Source organism: Homo sapiens, chromosome 10 (assembly GCF_000001405.40).
Source record: "Homo sapiens chromosome 10, GRCh38.p14 Primary Assembly".
In the NCBI taxonomy this organism is placed as follows: Eukaryota; Metazoa; Chordata; class Mammalia; order Primates; family Hominidae; genus Homo; species Homo sapiens.
The window spans coordinates 30333261-30352038 of record NC_000010.11 but is presented as its reverse complement, the minus strand read 5'-3'; the positions used below and the strand labels follow the sequence as shown (position 1 = coordinate 30352038).

Here is an 18778-nt window from a genome sequence, read left to right as displayed (position 1 = left end):
CCTCAAATTTGTAATAAGGCATAAACAATATACCTTAGCTTGAAAACAAAACAAAACAGTACGCCTTTGCATTAGGCCCTTCCTGCATCACTATAAAAAAATACCTGAGGCTGGGTAATTTACAAAGAAAAGAGGTTTAATTGGCTCATGGTTCTGCAGGCTGTACAGGAAACATGGCACTGGCCTCTGCTTCTGAGGAAGCCTCGGGGAGCTTACAATCATGGCAGAAGGCAAAGGGGGAGCAGGCACGTCACATGGAGTGAGCGGGAGCAAAATCGAGGGGAGGTGCCACAAACTATTAAACAACCAGGTTTCCGAGAACACATCCAATTATCACCAAGGGGATGGCGCTAAGCCACTGATGAGGGATCCACCCCCATGATCCAAACACCTTCCACCAGGCCGCACGGCCAGCACTGGGGATTATATCTCAACATGGATTTGGTGGGGACACAGATGCAAACCATATCAACCTTATAAAAATAAGCATTTATTTCATTTTAAACATTAAATGCAAAGTTTTCTTTTCTGGAAGATGCAGGCCAGTGAGCTAGAAGTAATACCTTACGACAGAATAGTTCTATAAAAATAGCTACTTTCAACTGGGTGCAGTGGCTCACGTCTGTAATCCCAACATTTTGGGAGGCCGAGGTGGGTGGATCACCTGAGTTCAGGAGGTCAAGACCAGCCTGGGCAACATGGTGAAAACCTGTCTCTACAAAAATACGAAAATTAGCCGGGCATAATGGCAGGTGCCTGTAATCTCAACTACTTGGGAGGCTGAGGCAGGAGAATTGCTTGAATCCAGGAGGAGGAGGATGCAGTGAGCTGAGATTGCACTAACGCATTCTACCCTGAGCGACAGAGCAAGACTCTGTCTCAAAAAATAAAATAAAAAAAAAGTACCTACTGCCAAGTGGCTGGAGAACATTTTATTCTGCTAAAGGGATTAAATATCCCCCACAAAAATTAAAAAGTCCTCACATCCATCCCCAAACTCATTGCTTACGCAGGACTTTCCTTGGAAGTATCAAAATCAAATATACTTCTATCTAACTTTGAGATTCTTCAACATCCATGTGGGAGTGGCAGGACTCTGTGTGGCCTGAGGGTGGCCTTGAGTGTGTGTCCGAGTGGAAGGCCCAGGATCTGGGGACTGACCTGGGGTCAAATGGCACAGCCAACTTTTTTTTTGAGACAGAGTCTTGCTCTGTTGCCAGGCTGGAGTGCAGTGGCACAATCTTGGCTCACTGAAACCTCTGCCTCCTGGGTTCAAGTGATTCTCCTGCCTCAGCCTCCCAAGTAGCTGGGATTACAGGTGCCCACCACCACACCTGGCTAATGTTTGTATTTGTAGTAGAGACAGGGTTTCGCTATGTTGGCCAGGCTGGTCTGGAATTCCTGACCTCAGGTGATCCTCCCGCCTTGGTCTCCCAAAGTTCTGGGATTACAGGCGTGAGCCACCACACCCAGCCAGCACAGCCAACTTCTAATGAGGCCACCTTAGACAAGTTACTTACTGTCTCTAAGCCTCCGTGTTCTCATCCATGAAATGGGTTTAATCACTCAGATTTGTTGAGATGATTAAAAAGGAAAATACCTGCAAGGCAATAGCACCATGCTAACACAGAGCTGGCTAGTCAGTTCCGGTGCTGGTTTGTCCTCTCTCACGCTCCGATTGCGAGGCCCCTTGCTTTTCCTTTCGCCTCCAGCAGCAGTGTATTCCCCCGGGGAGGCTGCCTTCAGTTGCAGGCTTCTTTGCACTGTTTCGTATGTCCTTTTCCCAGGCACCCGAGCAAGGGCCACTGGTTATGACACAGGCACTGAGGAGGAGCCTTGAATCAAGGGCAGAGCTCTGACTTTAAACTTTGACTCCCCAGGTGTGACCTATAGCCAGTCGTTGTCTGATCTGTGCCCCACTTTCTCATGTCCAAAATGAGAAGACTGAACCAGTCCTCTCCAATGCCTTTCGTATGGCTTTAAGATGAGGTATGTACCTCTCACTTGGAGGAGGGGCTGGCAAAACCACTTGAATTTTAATTTGAATTGAGGCATATTGGCAGAGGTTGTAAAATGTCCTCACATGGTTCAAGGAAGATGATGATGCCCTGCCTGCTCCTGGTGCCCCTTTCAGAGAGGTTAAAAGCCTTTCCATTATTTTAACTTTTTTTTTTTTTTTTTTTTTGAGACAGGGTCACGCTCTGTTGCACAGGCTTAAGTGCAGTGGCGCGATCTCGGCTCACTGCAACCTTCGCCTCCTGGGTTCAAGTGATTCTCGTGCCTCAGCCTCCCAAGTAGCTGGGATTACAGGCATGTAATCACGCCCAGCTAATTTTTTTGTATTTTTTAGTAGAGACAAGGTTTCGCCATGTTAGCCAGGCTGGTCTCGAACCCGTAACGTCAGGAGATTCACCTCCCTCAGCCTCTCAAAGTGCTGGGATTACAGGCATGAGCCACCGCGCCCGGGCTCTGGTTCTATTTTCATGATGCTATTTACAAGAGTAGGTGGAGCGCTCCTTCTATGGAACTTTTCATTTGGTAAATTGTGTGACTGTGGAAGTAAACCATGTCTGAAAGCTTAGGTATCTTCTTTCCGGCCTCAATTTCCTCTCTTCCTCTAAAAGCGAACTTCTTTCGCCTAGTTTGACCCTCGAGGCTTCCCATTTCTTTTGCCCCCCCCCTCCCCCCCGACGCATGCGCGAAAACGCGCTGACCTTTCAGCTTCGCGCTAGTGCTGTTTTTTTTTTTTTTTTTTTTTTAGCAATGGCGGTTCCCGGCGTGGGGCTCTTGACCCGTTTGAACCTGTGTGCCCGGAGAAGAACTCGAGTCCAGCGGCCTATCGTCAGGCTTTTGAGTTGCCCAGGAACTGTGGCCAAAGACCTTAGGAGAGACGAGCAGCCTTCAGGGAGCGTGGAGACAGGTGATGGCGCCGGTTTGCCCTGTAGTTCCGTCCCACAGCGGGCGAGGAGTCTGGGATCACGGGGAAACACGTGGCCTGTGGAAACGGCTGTGGACCCTTTGGCAAGAGGGTGGGGCTGTGTCCTGTCCTCTCCTCTCCTCTGATCTCTGTAGGGGAACCCAGGGTCGCCGCCGTTGCTGAGGCAGAAGTGAGATGTGTGATGTTTGTTTGGGGCGACTCCTGTGTACAGTAATGGAGTTGTTTAGACTTCCATGAAATTCAGGTCAGGAACCCAGTTTGCTTGCACTTTACAGTTTGACGAAATAGTGTTCCCAATGATAGTAATGCTACACACCTGAGCCAGTCGCTGCATCGTGTACGTATATTTCTGATTTTGATACATTAAGTTGTTGCTGGAGGCCGAGTTATATTGTAGCCTGATGAATCAAGAGGATTCTTGGTTCCTAGACATAGGGTTCTGTCTATGAAATGTACTGCCGTTTACTTTATTCTTTTTGGCCATTTTGAACCAAATCAGTCTGGTAACAGATTTGGATTCACTGCAACAGGCTGTTGTCCCGCGTTCGTTCTACATTTATATGCTTCTTTGTGTATTGAGAAGCCAGTGTTATTGAACCTCTCTTGTGACTCAAGAGCTTGTGTATTCTATTTACAGTTCTTAAAACGATCTTGCAAGAAATGTATCACTGTGTCCATTTTACAGATGTAGAAAATGGTTCAAAGAGGTAAATAACTTAGGCAAGGTCACTAGCTCAGTTAATTTAGACTTCTAGTCAAATTATTAAACAAAATGTATTGACTTCTACGATTCCTTGGAGCTATTTTTTCCCTAAAATAAGCTGGTGTCTTTATCAGACTGTATAAAAGACTTACATTGGCAGGCAGTGAGAAATCTTTATGTATTTCATTCAAATATTGATTGGATTGTATTTAGTGGAAGCTACTTCTGTTGAACATTTCTAAGTAACGCTGAAAATTTGAGTAAGGATTCTGCCAAAAAAGCTATTGTAATTTAACATTTGTATGGGTGTTTAAATTTGAGAGTATGTTCATATGCTCTTTGATATATGAAACAACCCTGTAGCGTAGGTGTGGAAGGAAATAACTGTTACTCCATTTTATAGATGAGGGAACAGGGTAGTCCAAGGGTAGCTTGAGTAGTTCAAGCTAAACTCAGCTATTCGGTGGCAAAAATTAAAAAACCCACTGTTTTTTTTTTTTCTTTTTCGGGACGAAGTCTTGCTCTGTCACCCAGGCTGGAGTGCAATGGCACGATCTTGGCTCACGGCAACCTTGGCCTCCCGGGTTTAAGTGATTCTCCTGCCTCAGCCTCCCGAGTAGCTGGGATTACAGGCACGTGGCACCACGCCTGGCTAATTTTTGTGTTATTAGTAGAGATGGGGTTTCACCATGTTGGCCAGGCTGATCTTGAACTCCAGACTCAGGTGATCTGCCTGCCTTGGCCTCCCAAAGTGCTGGGATTACAGGCGTGAGCCACCGCGCCCAGCCAGTAAAACTCACTTCTAATTCCAAGACTATACTCTTCATTTACTGTAGCTTTGCTATTTTTCTTTTTTAAGGAAATGTTTCATTTTGTGTCATTAGAATAATACGACTAAATATTCAGGGATTCTTGCAGGAAATAACAAAATCCTCATTTGGATGTCTTTACCATTTTAAAGAAGGACAGTTAAGTACACCTTATACTCACCTAGAAGCATGTGATTTTATAATTGGAAGGAACTTGAGAAATATCCAATTCAGTTTTTCATTCAGTGTGAGGATTCATTACCAGTTTATAGCAATAAGGAACATTGTTGCATAAATCAGTCAATTCCATTTTTGGTCAGCCTCTAATGGTTGAAAAATATTTATAGTGAGCTAAAATCTGTTAATTTCCCATTTCCAGGTTGGTCTTAGTTTTGACATAGGTTTCATGTTAGTAGTGGAAAGAGCTGTAGTAGAAAGACAATAAGAGTACATGGTGTATTATTCGGGATTCTTTCTGATACAGGTAACAGAAACTAACTCAAAATAGCTTAAGTAGAAAAGGGAGACTATACCAATCTGTGTAACCAAACTCCAGAAAGAGACATATATCATACTTTAAGGTCAATTGGTTTGACGTGGTCAGTGTGAGATATTTTCATTTTCCTTAGCTGTTTTTTGGTGGCCTTATAATCTTGGGCTCTTCTACATGGGATGTTGATGATGGGGGTGATGGTCACCAGCAGCTCCACGTTCACATGCTTGCGGCTTCCGATTGATCACATGCCCACCCTTTGGATGAAGAGGAGGTGTCCAAAATAGTCTGATAATCCCTATCTCATGGGGTGGGGGATAAGTGTGACAGTTCCACCACAACCACATAGAGTGGTTTTTTACTAGCAGGGGTGTGCTGTTACCAGAACTGTTACCTGAACAGGTTTAGCTGTTGTTTGGATGCCAGCAGCCAAACCAACAACAGCTAAACTGCAGGAGGCTACCCAGCTTATTAGGTATTTGACTTTGGGCAGTTTTTTTCACCTGCAGTGATACCTACCCTGTCTATCTTAAAAGGTTATTGTGAATTTCAGAAGAGTGTGTATGTGACAGTGCTTGGAAAACTATTAAGAGAAGGTGCTATATTATGTTTAAAGCCAGTGCTCAGCTCTCAGATTCTTACAGTTTTTTTTTTCCAGGCTGTAAATCCTCTCTTTATCTGTAGTAATTGTATATTAGAGTTTCTAGACTTTTTGTTATTCCTCTCTGGATGCTCTCTGGCTTATCTATTATGTCCAGAGTAGAACATGTACTCCATATGTGGCCTGATTAGTAAGTACCAAAGAAGTGTTATTACCCCTTAAATTTGGATTTTTAAAAACGTTTGTCTCAATAAGGCCTGAAGTTCTTTATATGAATTCATTCTCTTCCTATCCTCAATCCAGAAGTTAAGACATTCCTATGATGCATCAGACTTTCAGGCCTCTTTTATAAAACTGCTAGGTTAATTTTTCCCCCATTACGTGCATGCATCTTTATTTTGTTTTTAATTCTAAATACAGGATAGTATTCTGTCTTTTTTTTTTTTTTTTTCTTTTGAGAAGGAGTCTCTCAGTCACCCAGGCTGGAGTTCAGTGGCGCTATCTCGGCTCAGTGCAACCTCTGCCTTCTAGCGATTCTCCTGCCTCAGCCTCTTGAGTACCTGGGATTACAGGCACGCGTTACCACACTTGGTTAATTTTTTGTATTTTTAGTAGAGATGGGATTTCACTATGTTGGCCAGGCTGGTTTGGAACTTCTGACCTCAAGTGATCCACCCTCCCTGACCTCCCAAAGTGCTGGGATTACAGGCATGAGCCACTGCACCTGGCCTATTCAGTCATTTCTTAATGTTAGTTTGTGCTTACCATATTGTATTATCAAGACCATTGCACATTTCAATCTGTCATAAAATATTAGCACTTATTAGTTCTTCCTTTTAATTTGTTATAGATTTGATAAACCTTTGGTGAGGCAATAAATTACCTCAACTTTCTGTTCCCGCCTTCACAACTTTGTCATCGTGTCTACATCATTCTTAACCTACTGTTGTTTACGGCTTTAGATTCTACCTTTTTCATCTTCTCAAGCACATTGCTCCATTTTTTTTAATCAAACTTTTCTATCTCATTCTCAAATGTAATCCCTGCTCTTTGCCAGCAGTCCACCTGCAGGGATATATTTGCATAAATGTGCAAAGACATTGCATACAGATGACATTGCAGCATTGTTTGTAATAGTGAAAAAATGGTAAACCACCTAAATATTTATCAATAGAGATTTGGCTAAACTATGATAAATACATATTTAAGAGTATATACTTTTTAAAAGAAATAAAGTAAATGTGTATCTTCTGATACGGGAAAATGTCCCCAATATATTAAATATCTTACAGCATGTTACAGAATATATAGTAAGATTTCAGTAAATTTCAGTTGTGTAAAAGATGTGTATCTATGGATACAAGTGTATATGTTTACATATACCTTGAAAATGTCTGAAAAGGTAAGTACCACAACTTAATGGTTGGCTGTTAGGGTAAGAGGACTGGGAGAGGACTTATGCTTCTACCTGAGAAAATTCTACACTGTTTGGGCCGGGCGCCATGGCTCACGCTTGTAATCCCGGCACTTTGGGAGGCCGAGGCAGGAGGATCACCTGAGGTCAGGAGTTCAAGAGCAGCCGGACCAACATGGTGAAACTCCTTCTCTACTAAAAATATAAAAATTAGCCTGGCGCAGTGGCAGGTCCTGTAATCCCAGCCACTCGGGAGGCTGAGGCAGGAGAATTGCTTGAACCCTGGAGGTGGAGATTGCGGTGAGCCGAGATCACACCACTGCACTCCAGCCTGGGCAATAGAGTGAGACTCTGTCTGGAAAATAAAAAAGAAAATTCTATGCTGTTTGACTTTACTTTTACAATACGCAGTTGGACATCAGTTTAGACTCAGTAAAAATCAGAGACGAGTGTGTAGGTGGCATTCACAACTGAAAAGGTGGTAAGGTGGTCTAGGCAGAGCCTGTAGCATAAGAGAAGGAAATAAGGACCACTTGGAGGAAGGACAGTTGGTAGACTGAGATCTAATTGAAAAGAATAGCCTCTGCCCTCAATATGGAAGAAAGTATTCTTCCATATTGTTAAATAAATATAACACTATGAATTACATTCCTTCATAGTTGTTAAAGTAAGGTAATACAGAGGTGGAAGAGATTCTGCCATGGAGAGTCAGAAGTCTTCACAGACCTGAGCAAGATTTGGAGGGTGAATGGGAGTTTGCCAGACAGAAAATGAGAAGGTAGACATTCCAACCAGAAGGAAGAAGACATAGATAGTTCATAGCATGTGATAGTATTGTGTGTGTAGAGTACCATATGTGAAAAGTACAACAGAAAGAAATGGTATAAGTGACATGAAAGAGGGGAGATGGGACATGGTGCAAGCACTTTATACCCATGCTATGGAGTTGAGATGTGATCCTAAAGGCAGTGGGGAAACCATTAAAGGATTTAAGCAGGTAAGCCAAAGAATAAGACTTAAAAAAAAAAGACCATTTTATAAAGAACACTTTGGCAGTTATGTGGAGGATAGCTTGAGAAAAACAAAACTAGGGTGAATGAGACTAGTTTAGGAGTCAGATTATTGTGATACAGGCCTGAAATAAGAGATTGATGTTAAAGAATTGTCATTGGGAATGGAGGCGAAGGCACATAGTTAAAAGCTGTATTTTCAGGCTTGGCGTGGTGGCGTCATGCCTGTAATTTCAGCACTTTGGGAGTCCAAGGAGGGAGGACTGCTTGAGGTCAGCAGTTCAAGACCAGCCTGACCAACGTAGTGAAACCCCATCTCTACTAAACATACAAAAATTAGCTGGGCGTGGTGGCGCACGCCTGTAATACCGGCTACTGGGGAGGTTGAGGCATGAGAATCGCTTGAACCTGGGAGGCGGAGATTGCAGTGAGCTGGGGTTGTGCCACTGCACTCCAGCCTGGGTGACAGAGGGAGACCTTGTCTCTTTAAAAAAAAAAAGAAAAAAGATAGTAAGATAGTGGGTTTGGAGTATTTCCTTGATCCATCAGTTTCATAGCCTTTTGGAAGAAAATGAGGCTAAAAGCTTCTGCTGATTTCTATACATCATTTACATTTTCTGTTCTATTTAATTTCTTTGGAATTTTAAGATTTTTTTTTTTTTTTTGAGACAGTCTCCCTCTGTCACTCAGGCTGGAGTGCAATGGTGCAATCTCGGATCACTGCAACCTCCTGGGTTGAAGTGATTCTCCTACCTCAGCCTCCCAAGTAACCGGGACTGCAGACACACGACACCACGCCTGGCTAATTTGGGCAGGCTGGTCTCAAACTCCTGGCCTCAGGTGATCCGCCCACCTCCGTCTCCCAAAGTGCTGGGATTACAGGTGTGAGCCACCGCGTCTGGCCTTGTTAAGGGTATTGATATCAGACTTGGTGGTTTATGATCTCTAGAGTCTACCATTCCAGACTTTTTAAAGAAACACCTTAAACTACTTAACTGGAAGTTAAAATCTTGGGGGAAAAAAATTAGTTGTTAACATTCAGGTTTGTGCTTTAATACTCTCTTAGAACTTGAATAATTTTTTTCTCTCTATACTTAGTTCATTTGTTGACCTTCCCATTGTGGCTAGTGGGTTATTAATATTTAATTCTTCACTGTCACAATTCTTGTCTTGATTCCCTGTGATTGTAAAACTCCTAGCCTCTTTCTTTCCTTAGTAAAATTATCAGGGAGCTCTTCATGGGCAGTAACGAGGTTTTAAATTCTTTGATTTCCCTGATACAGAGCGCATGATAGTTGGTAACTCACTGTTAATTGTTTGAGCCAGATCAAGACCCTTGAGAAAGAAAAATGCCTTAATAGCTTATGTCAAAACACCGAATTTCCAAACTCATTGTCTCATTACACTCAGGCTTGTAATAATTTCTTTTAGGCTTTGGAATGTTACAATTTGCACAATTTTGTGTGTGCATATTTGTACAAGTATTAAATAAGTGATTTTAGTTTCCTGGTTTTTTTTTTTTTTTTTGTGGAACTCCGTTTTCAGCACTTTGCATCAAGCATAGTAAATCAAAACAGAGAAAGTGGGCAGTTTTAATAGTAGTCATGGGAGAGTAGTCAAACGAACACTGAAAGTGCAGTAATTCCACCTCATCCATGTTTTCACTGTCCACAGTTTCGGTTCCTCACAGTCAACTGTGGTCCACAAATAGGTGAGCACAGTACAATATGATATTTTGAGAGAGAGAGAGACCACATTCATATAACTTTTATTACAGTATATTAGAATTGTTCTATTTCATTATTAGTTGTTGTTAATCTCTGTCTCTTTTTTTTGAGACAGAGTCTCGCTCTGTTGCCCAGGATGGAGTGCAGTGGTGCAATCTCAGCTCACTGCAACGTCTGCCACCTGGTTTCAAGTGATTCTCCTGTTTCAGCCTCCCAAGTAGCTGGGACTACAGGCGCGCGCCACCATGCCTGGCTAATTTTTGTATTTTTAGTACAGATGAGGTTTCACCATGGTCAGGCTGATCTCGAACTCCTGGCCTCAGGTGATCCACCCACCTCAGCCTCCCAAAGTTCTGGTATTACAGGCATGAGCCACCAAGCCCGGCCCGTTGTTATTAATCTCTTACTGTGCCTAATTTATAAATTAAGCCTTATCATAGCAATGTATGTGTAGGATAAAACATTGTATATATAGGGCTTGGTAATATCTGAGGTTTTAAGCATTTACAGGCATCTTGGATCATAACCCCTGTGGGTAATGGGGAGACTACTGTAGTATAGTTTAACCCTTATAAAGGAAGAGAAAAAATAGATTAGGTGAAGTTGGTTTTAGTCATATATGAAGTCTTTAAACACCTTATCAAAATATTTTTAAAATTTTGTGTGTGTGCGTGTGGTGGAAATGTTTTTGTCTCGTTCATAGGCTTTGAAGACAAGATTCCCAAAAGGAGATTCTCTGAGATGCAAAATGAAAGACGAGAACAGGCACAGCGGACTGTTTTAATACATTGCCCAGAGAAAATCAGTGAAAACAAGTTTCTTAAATATTTATCCCAATTTGGACCTATTAATAATCATTTCTTCTATGAAAGCTTTGTAAGTATTTGAAAAACAATCTAACTTAACGTTTATGCTTTTCAAGGGTGGAGGTCTCCATTAGTTGTTTTTTGCTGTTGCTTTTTGCAATATGGTAGGTAGGTTCTCTTTGATATACTGCATCTTCTTTATCTAGATTTCTTTAATGAGTTTTGTTTTTGATATGGGATTCTTATAGCGGTATTTTAGGATTATAAGTCATTTATGACTGATTTCATTATTTGAATGCTTAATTTTATTTTTTAAGAGACGGGGTCCAACTATGTGGCCTATGCTGGAGTGCAGTGGCTGTTGGCAGGTACGATCATATTGCACTACAGCCTCGACTCCTAGGCTCGGGTGATCCTTCTGCCTCTGGAGTAGCTGGGACTACAGTCCTGCACCACCACACCCAGCTTGAATACTTTAGATAGTCTCTTTAACTTGCGGATGAAGGCCAGTGGGAGGGGATCTTTGTTTTGCCTTTGGATTTTTCTGCTTCATCATTCTTTTCAGTCTTTTCAGCTTCTCTTAACTAACATTGTTTTAAGGTTCCGTTTCTTTTTTTTTGACATGGAGTCTCACTCTGTTGCCCAGGCTGGAGTGCAGTGGCATGATCTTGGGTCATTGCAACCTCCGTCTCTTGGGTTCAAGCGATTCTCCTGCCTCAGCCTTCCAAGTAGCTGGACTTACAGACACCTGCCACCACGCCTGGCTAATTTTTGTATTTTTAGTAGAGGCGAGGTTTCACCATGTTGGCCAGGCTGGTCTTGAACTCTTGACCTCAGGTGATCTGCCCACCTCCATGTCCCAAAGTGCTGGGATTACAAGCGTGAGCCACTGCGCCCGGCCCAGTGTTCCTTTTCTTCATCTACTTAAATTGAATAAAATTAATGCTATGTTAGAATCATATCATTTGTAAATTTTAAAGACTTGATATTTTGTAGCATTATGATAATTGTTTTAATATATGAGCTAAAATAGTATGTTAGATATATCGTGAAATGTGTTCTGTTTTTTCTTATGTTTTTGGTATAGGGTCTCTATGCTGTCGTAGAATTTTGCCAAAAGGAAAGCATAGGTTCACTGCAGAATGGGACTCATACTCCAAGCACGGCCATGGAGACTGCAATTCCATTCAGATCACGTTTCTTCAATCTGAAGTTGAAAAACCAGACTTCTGAACGGTCACGCGTACGGTCAAGTAATCAGTTGCCACGTTCAAACAAGCAGCTTTTTGAATTACTTTGTTATGCAGAAAGTGTAAGTTTTTAGGTGTACCTCAACTTTTAGAACTATGTATTTTTTTATGAACAATAAAGATTCCTGTAAAATGTTCAAGCTACATTATTGTTTAATGGGTATAGATCTTCAGTTTTACAAGGTGAAAAGAGTTACGGAGATGAATCGTGGTGGTGGATGCATAATGAGATGAAGGAAAGTTTTTTTCTATTTCTAGCTTTCTAAGAATGTCGTCATGCTCAACACATTGAGTAGATGTTGAGTTTTGACATTTGAGATGGTATTGATGACTGGCATATGGTCTTGAGATTGTATATGGTTCCTAATGTCTTTTTCTTTCCCCTCCTAATGTCTTAACGTAGTGAATTGTAGATTCACTGTAGATTTCCTCATGTCAAGTCATTCTTGCATTCACAGAATAAACCCTACTTAGTCAAGGTGTATTTACAAAAATGCATTATTACATTTGTCGTGCTAATATTTTTATTACAATTTTAATATCTCTATAAATAAATGGGATTGCTTTTAAAAATTCAAACTACAGGATATGTTGAATGAAAAGTGATAGTAATCCTTGTCTGCTCCTTCCCCGCCATGCCCCATTTGTACTTACAGGTAACCACATTCTTCTGAAGTTTTCGGCCTTTTGAACAGTTTAGGTTTTCTTTCTCTTTCCAGCATAATGACATAAAATTGTACATGGTTTTCTGTCAATTTTAAAATGTCTTCTTTCTGATTCTCTCTCTCTTTTTTTTTTTTTTTTTTTGAGATGGAGTCTCGCTCTTGCCCAGGCTGGAGTGCAGTGGCATGATCTTGGCTTACTGCAACTGCTCCCCGATTCAAGCAATTCTCATGCCTCAGCTGCCCAAGTAGCTGGGACTACAGGTGTGCACCACCACACCCAGCTAACTTTTGTATTTTTAGTAGTGACGGAGTTTCGCCACTTTGGCCAGGCTGGTCTCGAACTCCTGACCTCAGGTGATGTGCCCACTTCGGCCTCCCAAACTGCTGGGATTATAGGTGTGAGCCACTACGCCCGGCCCAAGATTCTGTCTCTTCTGTGTTCAAATATTGTTTGTATTTGTCTTGGTGTTTTTTTGTTTGTTTGTTTTTGTTTTTGTTTTGAGACGGACTCTTGCTCTGTCGCCCAGGCTGGAGTGCAGTGGCGTGATCTCAGCTCACTTCAAGCTCCACCTCCTGGGTTCACGCCATTCTCTTGCCTCAGCCTCTCAAGTAGCTGGGACTACAGGCGCCCACCACCATGCCCGGCTAATTTTTTGTATTTTTATTAGAGACGGGGTTTCACTGAGTTAGCCAGGATGGTCTCGATCTCCTGACCTTGTGATCCGCCCGCCTTGGCCTCCCAAAGTGCTGGGATTATAGGCGTGAGCCACTGCACCTGGCCTGTCTTGGTGTTTCTTACTCAGACTTGCCAGACCTTGCTAGTCTTTCCAAAGAATCAACTCATGGCTTTATTTATCAAAATATTATTTTCAAGGTTTAATTTTCTAATAAGAAAATTTTTGCTTCTAATCTATTTCCTTTACTTTTATTGTTATTATTATTATTTTGAGACAGAGTTTTGCTCTTGTTGCCCAGGCTGGAGTGCAATGGCCTGATCGTGGCTCACTGCAACCTCCGCCTCCCAGGTTCAAGCGATTCTCCTGCCTCAGCCTCCCAAGTAGCAGGGATTACAGGCACGCGCCATCACACCTGGCTAATTTTTTGTATTTTTAGTAGATTTGGGGTTTCACCACGTTGGCCAGGCTGGTCTCTAACTCCTGATCTCATGTGATCTGCCTGCCTTGGCCTCCCAAAGTGCTGGGATTACAGGCATGAGCCACCGAGCCCGGCCTCTTTTATTATTTTTGAGTTGAATGCTTAGTTCAGTTCAGTTCAGTTATGTTACGTTATGTTATGTTATGTTAATGTTATGTTGTTATGTTAATGTTATGTTGTTATGTTATGTTATGTTACGTTATTTTTTGAGGTGGAGTCTTGCTCTGTTGCCCAGGCTGGAGTGCAGTGGTGCAATCTCAGCTCACTGTAGCTGCATACTCCTGGACTCAAGTGACCCACCTCAGCCTTCTGAGTAGCTGAGACTACAGATGCATTCCACCATGCCCAGCTAGTTTTTGTATTTTTTTTTTTGGTAGAGTCAGGGTTTCATCACGTTGCCCAGGCTGGTCTCACTCCTGAGCTCAAGCGATCCTCCCGCCTTGGCCTCCCAGTAGTTCACAGGTGTGAGCCACTGTGCCCAGCCAGTTGATATTTTCAATGTTGGTTTCAAATAAGAGCATTTGAAGTTACGATTTTTTTTCACTTCAGATACTCCAGTACACAATTTCAGTATGTGATCATTTTAATGCCAGTCTTCTAGTGGATAGACAGGATTGTTATTCTGAGAAACTGAGAGGTCTTGGGCCTTCATTACTTGAGTATTTCTAGTTTTTCTTGCCCTTTAACATTGGTCTTTCATCCCTTTGAGTTTAAAATGTCTAACGTGGTTGTTTTAACCTCTTCTGGAGTACTTTACTACTTTCATTTTCTTAAAACAATACTTTATACTCATCGCTTACAAAGTTTTAATTCTAGCCAACTTTCATTTTGCTAGTGGCATTCCTCAGAGCTTTTTAAAAATTTTAAAATATTATATAATTTATTTCTTTAGTGAAATAGAGACGAGGTCCTGCTGTGTTGCTTAGGCTGATCTCAAACTCCTTGCCTCATATGATCCGCCTTGGCCTTCCAAAGTATTGAGATTACAGGCATGAGCCACCGCGCCTGGCCTTCTCAGTGGTTTTTAAAGAGTATTTTTTTTTGAGACGGAGTCTTGTTCTTGTTGCCCAGGCTGGAGTGCAATGGTGCGATCTTGGCTCACCACAACCTCTGCCTCCTGGGTTCAAGCGATTCTCCTGCCTCAGCCTCCTGAGTAGCTGGGATTACAGGTATGCGCCACCACGCCCGGCTTATTTTGTATTTTTAGTAGAGATTGGGTTTCTCCATGTTGGTCAGGCTGGTCGCGAAATTCCGGCCTCAGGTGATCCACCTGCCTTGGCCTCCCAAAATGTTGGGATTACAGGCGTGAGCCACTGCGCCAGGCTTTGCATATTTCTAAGGTAGGTCTTCAACGCCACCAAATCTTTGAAAGTAAAATGGTAACTTTTTATGCGACCTGTACTTTTTCTCTATTTTGTTGGTTTTGTTTCGGCTAGCTAGATAGACGATCAGCTGAACACTCTCTTGAAGGAGTTCCAGCTAACAGAGGAGAACACTAAGCTCCGATATCTCACCTGTTCTCTTATTGAAGACATGGCCGCCGCGTATTTTCCAGACTGCATAGTCAGACCCTTTGGCTCCTCAGTCAACACTTTTGGGAAGTTAGGATGTGATTTGGACATGTTTTTGGATCTAGATGAAACCAGAAACCTCAGCGCTCACAAGGTAAGTCTATTTCTTTTGACCACTATAATCATGTAAAGTTAAGAAAGTATAAAAAGAAAAATCTTTGAACTTAATAAAATAGAACTGTTGATTTCTAAACTTATTAAACATTGTGGTTAAAGAATAAGGTGTATTTGTTATTGATTCTTTGGTGAAGTCTTTCTTTGTATTGTTCTACTATGTGATCATTTTTGTGAATATTCTGTAGATATGCAATCAAATAGTTAATTGTTTTCAAGTGTTCAGAAATTTTTCAGTTAAGTCAAAGTTACCTATTGTGTTATTCAAATTATGTATCTTAACTAATTTTTTCTTTTTAATCTTGTGATCTAGTTACTGAGATGTTTTTACATCTCATGATTCTTGGTTTTGTTAATTTCTCTTTAAAATTCTTTTGATTTTTGTTTTATCCAAAGGCTATATTAGCTACATATAGGTATACGATCATCATATTTCCTTATTAGATTGTTTTATTATTATATCCCTCATACATGCTTTATTCATCTCTATAAATACTTTTTTCTTAAGTTCTATTTTATTTGTTAATATGGCCGCTTGGTAGTTGTCTCACATGTCTTCTGTTTCTTTATTTTCAGCCTTTATATATGTTATTTTAGTTTGGGTGTATCTCTTATAAATAGCAGTATGCTTTTACTCCAGTCTATCAGTCTTTGAGTTCAATATGTTTATTGTTACTGCTGATAATTCTTGGACTAATTTCTCCTGTTTTATTTTTTATTTCCTATTTTCTGTGCTTTTGCTTTTCACTTTCTTTTATTTATTTATTTTTTTTGAGGCTGAGTCTCACTCTGTCGCCCAGCCTGGAGTGCAATGGTGCAATCTCGGCTCACTGCAACCTCCACCTCCCGGGTTCAAGTGATTTCTCCTGCCTCAGCCTCCTGAGTAGCTGGGATTACAGGCGCCTGCTACCATGCCCAGCTGATTTTTGTATTTTAGTAGAGACGGGGTTTTACCTCCTTGGTCAGGCTGGTTTTGAACTCCTGACCTCAGGTGATCCACACCCCTCGGCCTCCTAAAGTGCTGGGATTACAGGCATGGGCCACTTCCCAGCAGCTTTTCACTTTCTTTCTTCCTTTTATTGGATTACTCCTGCTTTATTCCTGCACTTTCCTCCTTACCCTTTTTTTCTCTTTCAAGTTTGGATATTATTTCTTCCATTTATGTTCTCTTTAACACGATGTCTAATGGTAAAATTAACCAGTGTCTCTTCCATCCTCCCAAACAATATAAATGATGTCTTAATTTAATTACAGTGTTGAAAAGGCTATTTATTTTTATTTTTATTTTTTTGTTGGAGATAGAGTCTCTTGCTCTGTTGCCTAGGCTGAAGTACGGTGACGTGATCTAGGCTCACAGCAACTTCCGCCTTCCAAGTTCAAACAATTCTCCTGTCTCAGCCTCCCAAGTAGCTGGGACTGCAGGCAGGGGCCACCATGCCCGGCTAATTTTTTTGTTTTAGTAGAGACAGGGTTTCACGTATTGGTCAGGCTGGTCTTGAACTCCTGACCTCAGGTGATCCATCCACCTCAGCCTCCCAAAAGTGCTGGGATTACAGGCGTGAGTCACCACACGCGGCCAAGGCTATGTGTTTTTATAAAATGTTTAGTTTCTATGGCTGTATCTTTCCTTACATCTTTCAAACTAGTAGTGAACATCAGACTTTATGTGGATGTCCAGTTGATATTTCAAACAATATTTTGAGACAACTTATATTCATCTTCCCACAAATGTTCTTTCTAAGTTCTTACAAAAGTTCTATATGTTTCACATGTTAATTAGTGGCATTTTAGCTTTGCTAACCATTCTTTTAATTCTGCTTCTAAGTTGTTATCTTTTGTATTCATAGTTTCACAGTCCCTTATAAACTCTCACTTAGATTATTGTAACTACATTCTGTTTCCACTTCTTATTCCTTGTGTCATGCCTTGATATTTTAACCTTCAGTCTTTGTTGGAGTTACCTTCACTCACAGTTTGAATTTTCCCACAAAGTTAGAATGCTTCTTTTCTTTAGCATAGTATTGAAATCCTCTGTGTCTTAATTAATTTTAGTCATCATTTCCCATTATATATTGTTACATACCCAATTTTCCAACTACATTGTTTTTATTTTTCTTTTTTTAAGACGGAGCTTCACTCGGTCACCCAGGCTGGAGTGCAGTGGCATGATCTTGGCCCGCTGCAGCCTCTGCCTCCTGGGTTCAAGTGATTCTCCTGCCTCAGCCTCCTGTGTAGCTGGGACTTCAGGCACGCCCCACCACGCCCGGCTAATTTTTGTGTTTTTAATAGAGATGGGATTTCGCCATTTTGGCCAGGCTGGTCTGGAACTCCTGACCTCAGGTGATCCACACACCTTGGCCTCCCGAAGTGCTGGGATTACAGGCTTGAGCCACCATGCCCGGCCCCAACCACATTGTTTAATTACCATTTCCAGTAATAGAAGGCACTTGTAAATATCATAATGATCAAACAGTTGTTCTGTGCCTTCACTCAGGAGTGCACTTTCCCTCCATTCCTCGACTCATTCCTAATGCAGCTTTCAAGGTCTAGTTCTAATTCTACCTTCTTGAAACCGCTCTTGATTTTTTTCTCCACTCCAGCCAAAATTAACCACTCCTTTTTTGTAGTATCTTGCAGGTATTTCTATCTGTCTCCAAATTTCTTCTGTCATGTTTAGTGAGTAGCTGATGTATGTATCTCCCACTATATAATAAACTTGGGCAGATAGGAATCATGTCTGTTCATATACTTATTCCACAGTACTGTGTACTTAATTTGCTCACCATATGCTTATTGAATTGAAGCTAGCCAGGCATAGGAAACAGATAAAAATTAAATGGGTCAGTTTTATTATAATAATAATTATTATTATTACTATTTTGAGATGAGGTCTCACTCTTTTGCCCAGGCTAGAGTGCAGTGGTATGATCTCAGCTCACTGTAACCTCTGCCTCCTGGGCTCAAGCAATTCTCCTGCCTCACCCGTGTGATTGAGACTTCAGGCTTACACTGCTGCTTCCGGCTAATTATTTTAGAGATAGTGTTTCATCATGTTGCCCAGGGTGGTCTCGAACTCCTGAGTTCAGGTGATCCACCCACCTCGGCCTCCCCAAGTGCTACGATTATAGGGATTACAAGCGTAAGCCACCGCATCCGGCCTGGATCAGTTTTATTAAGACTAACATGTACTTGAAAATATATTAAGTTCCTGGCAGTGGCACTTAAATTACATTAGGCTGTCTTAAATAAAGGATTGTAACTGAATAATCAAGGAGCATAACAGTGTGTTGTAATGGTTTAAAAAGCCTGGGCTCTGGCATCAAGCTGCAGAATTTTAATTCTACTTACTAGTAATGTGATCCTAGGTAAGTTATTTACCTTCTCTCTGCCTCAATTGTCCTAACTATAAAATTGGAATGGTGTTATAGCACATATCTCATACAATGTTTGAGAGGATTTATTGAGTTAATATGTGTGAAACATTTAGAACAGTGCTTATGGCACAGAGTAAGTGTTGAAATG

General features: G+C 41.4%; 1 protein-coding gene across 1 annotated transcript in view, besides 5 other annotated features; it reads left to right on the top strand.

Moving 5' to 3' along the window:
- Positions 2750–2889: an enhancer, noted in NCBI's record as "active region_3207". NCBI's record gives its function as "activates an Ori minimal core promoter by ATAC-STARR-seq in GM12878 lymphoblastoid cells {active_cell/tissue: GM12878}" and the evidence as "EXISTENCE:reporter gene assay evidence [ECO:0000049][PMID:35858748]".
- Positions 2761–18778, top strand: part of MTPAP (mitochondrial poly(A) polymerase) — a 39478-nt gene continuing 23460 nt past the window's right edge. Inside the window, exons 1-4 of the mRNA NM_018109.4 lie at positions 2761–2920; positions 10399–10571; positions 11589–11813; positions 15012–15236. Of these exons, the coding sequence (NP_060579.3) occupies positions 2764–2920; positions 10399–10571; positions 11589–11813; positions 15012–15236 (780 nt within the window). The 5' untranslated portion in view covers positions 2761–2763. The remainder of the gene's footprint in view (positions 2921–10398; positions 10572–11588; positions 11814–15011; positions 15237–18778) is intronic.
- Positions 2920–2969: an enhancer, noted in NCBI's record as "active region_3206". NCBI's record gives its function as "activates an Ori minimal core promoter by ATAC-STARR-seq in GM12878 lymphoblastoid cells {active_cell/tissue: GM12878}" and the evidence as "EXISTENCE:reporter gene assay evidence [ECO:0000049][PMID:35858748]".
- Positions 3020–3089: an enhancer, noted in NCBI's record as "active region_3205". NCBI's record gives its function as "activates an Ori minimal core promoter by ATAC-STARR-seq in GM12878 lymphoblastoid cells {active_cell/tissue: GM12878}" and the evidence as "EXISTENCE:reporter gene assay evidence [ECO:0000049][PMID:35858748]".
- Positions 3100–3199: an enhancer, noted in NCBI's record as "active region_3204". NCBI's record gives its function as "activates an Ori minimal core promoter by ATAC-STARR-seq in GM12878 lymphoblastoid cells {active_cell/tissue: GM12878}" and the evidence as "EXISTENCE:reporter gene assay evidence [ECO:0000049][PMID:35858748]".
- Positions 3781–4281: an enhancer, noted in NCBI's record as "H3K4me1 hESC enhancer chr10:30636687-30637187 (GRCh37/hg19 assembly coordinates)". NCBI's record gives its function as "activates a minimal SCP1, AML or CMV promoter by ChIP-STARR-seq in naive H9 embryonic stem cells {active_cell/tissue: H9 hESC(naive)}" and the evidence as "EXISTENCE:reporter gene assay evidence [ECO:0000049][PMID:30033119]".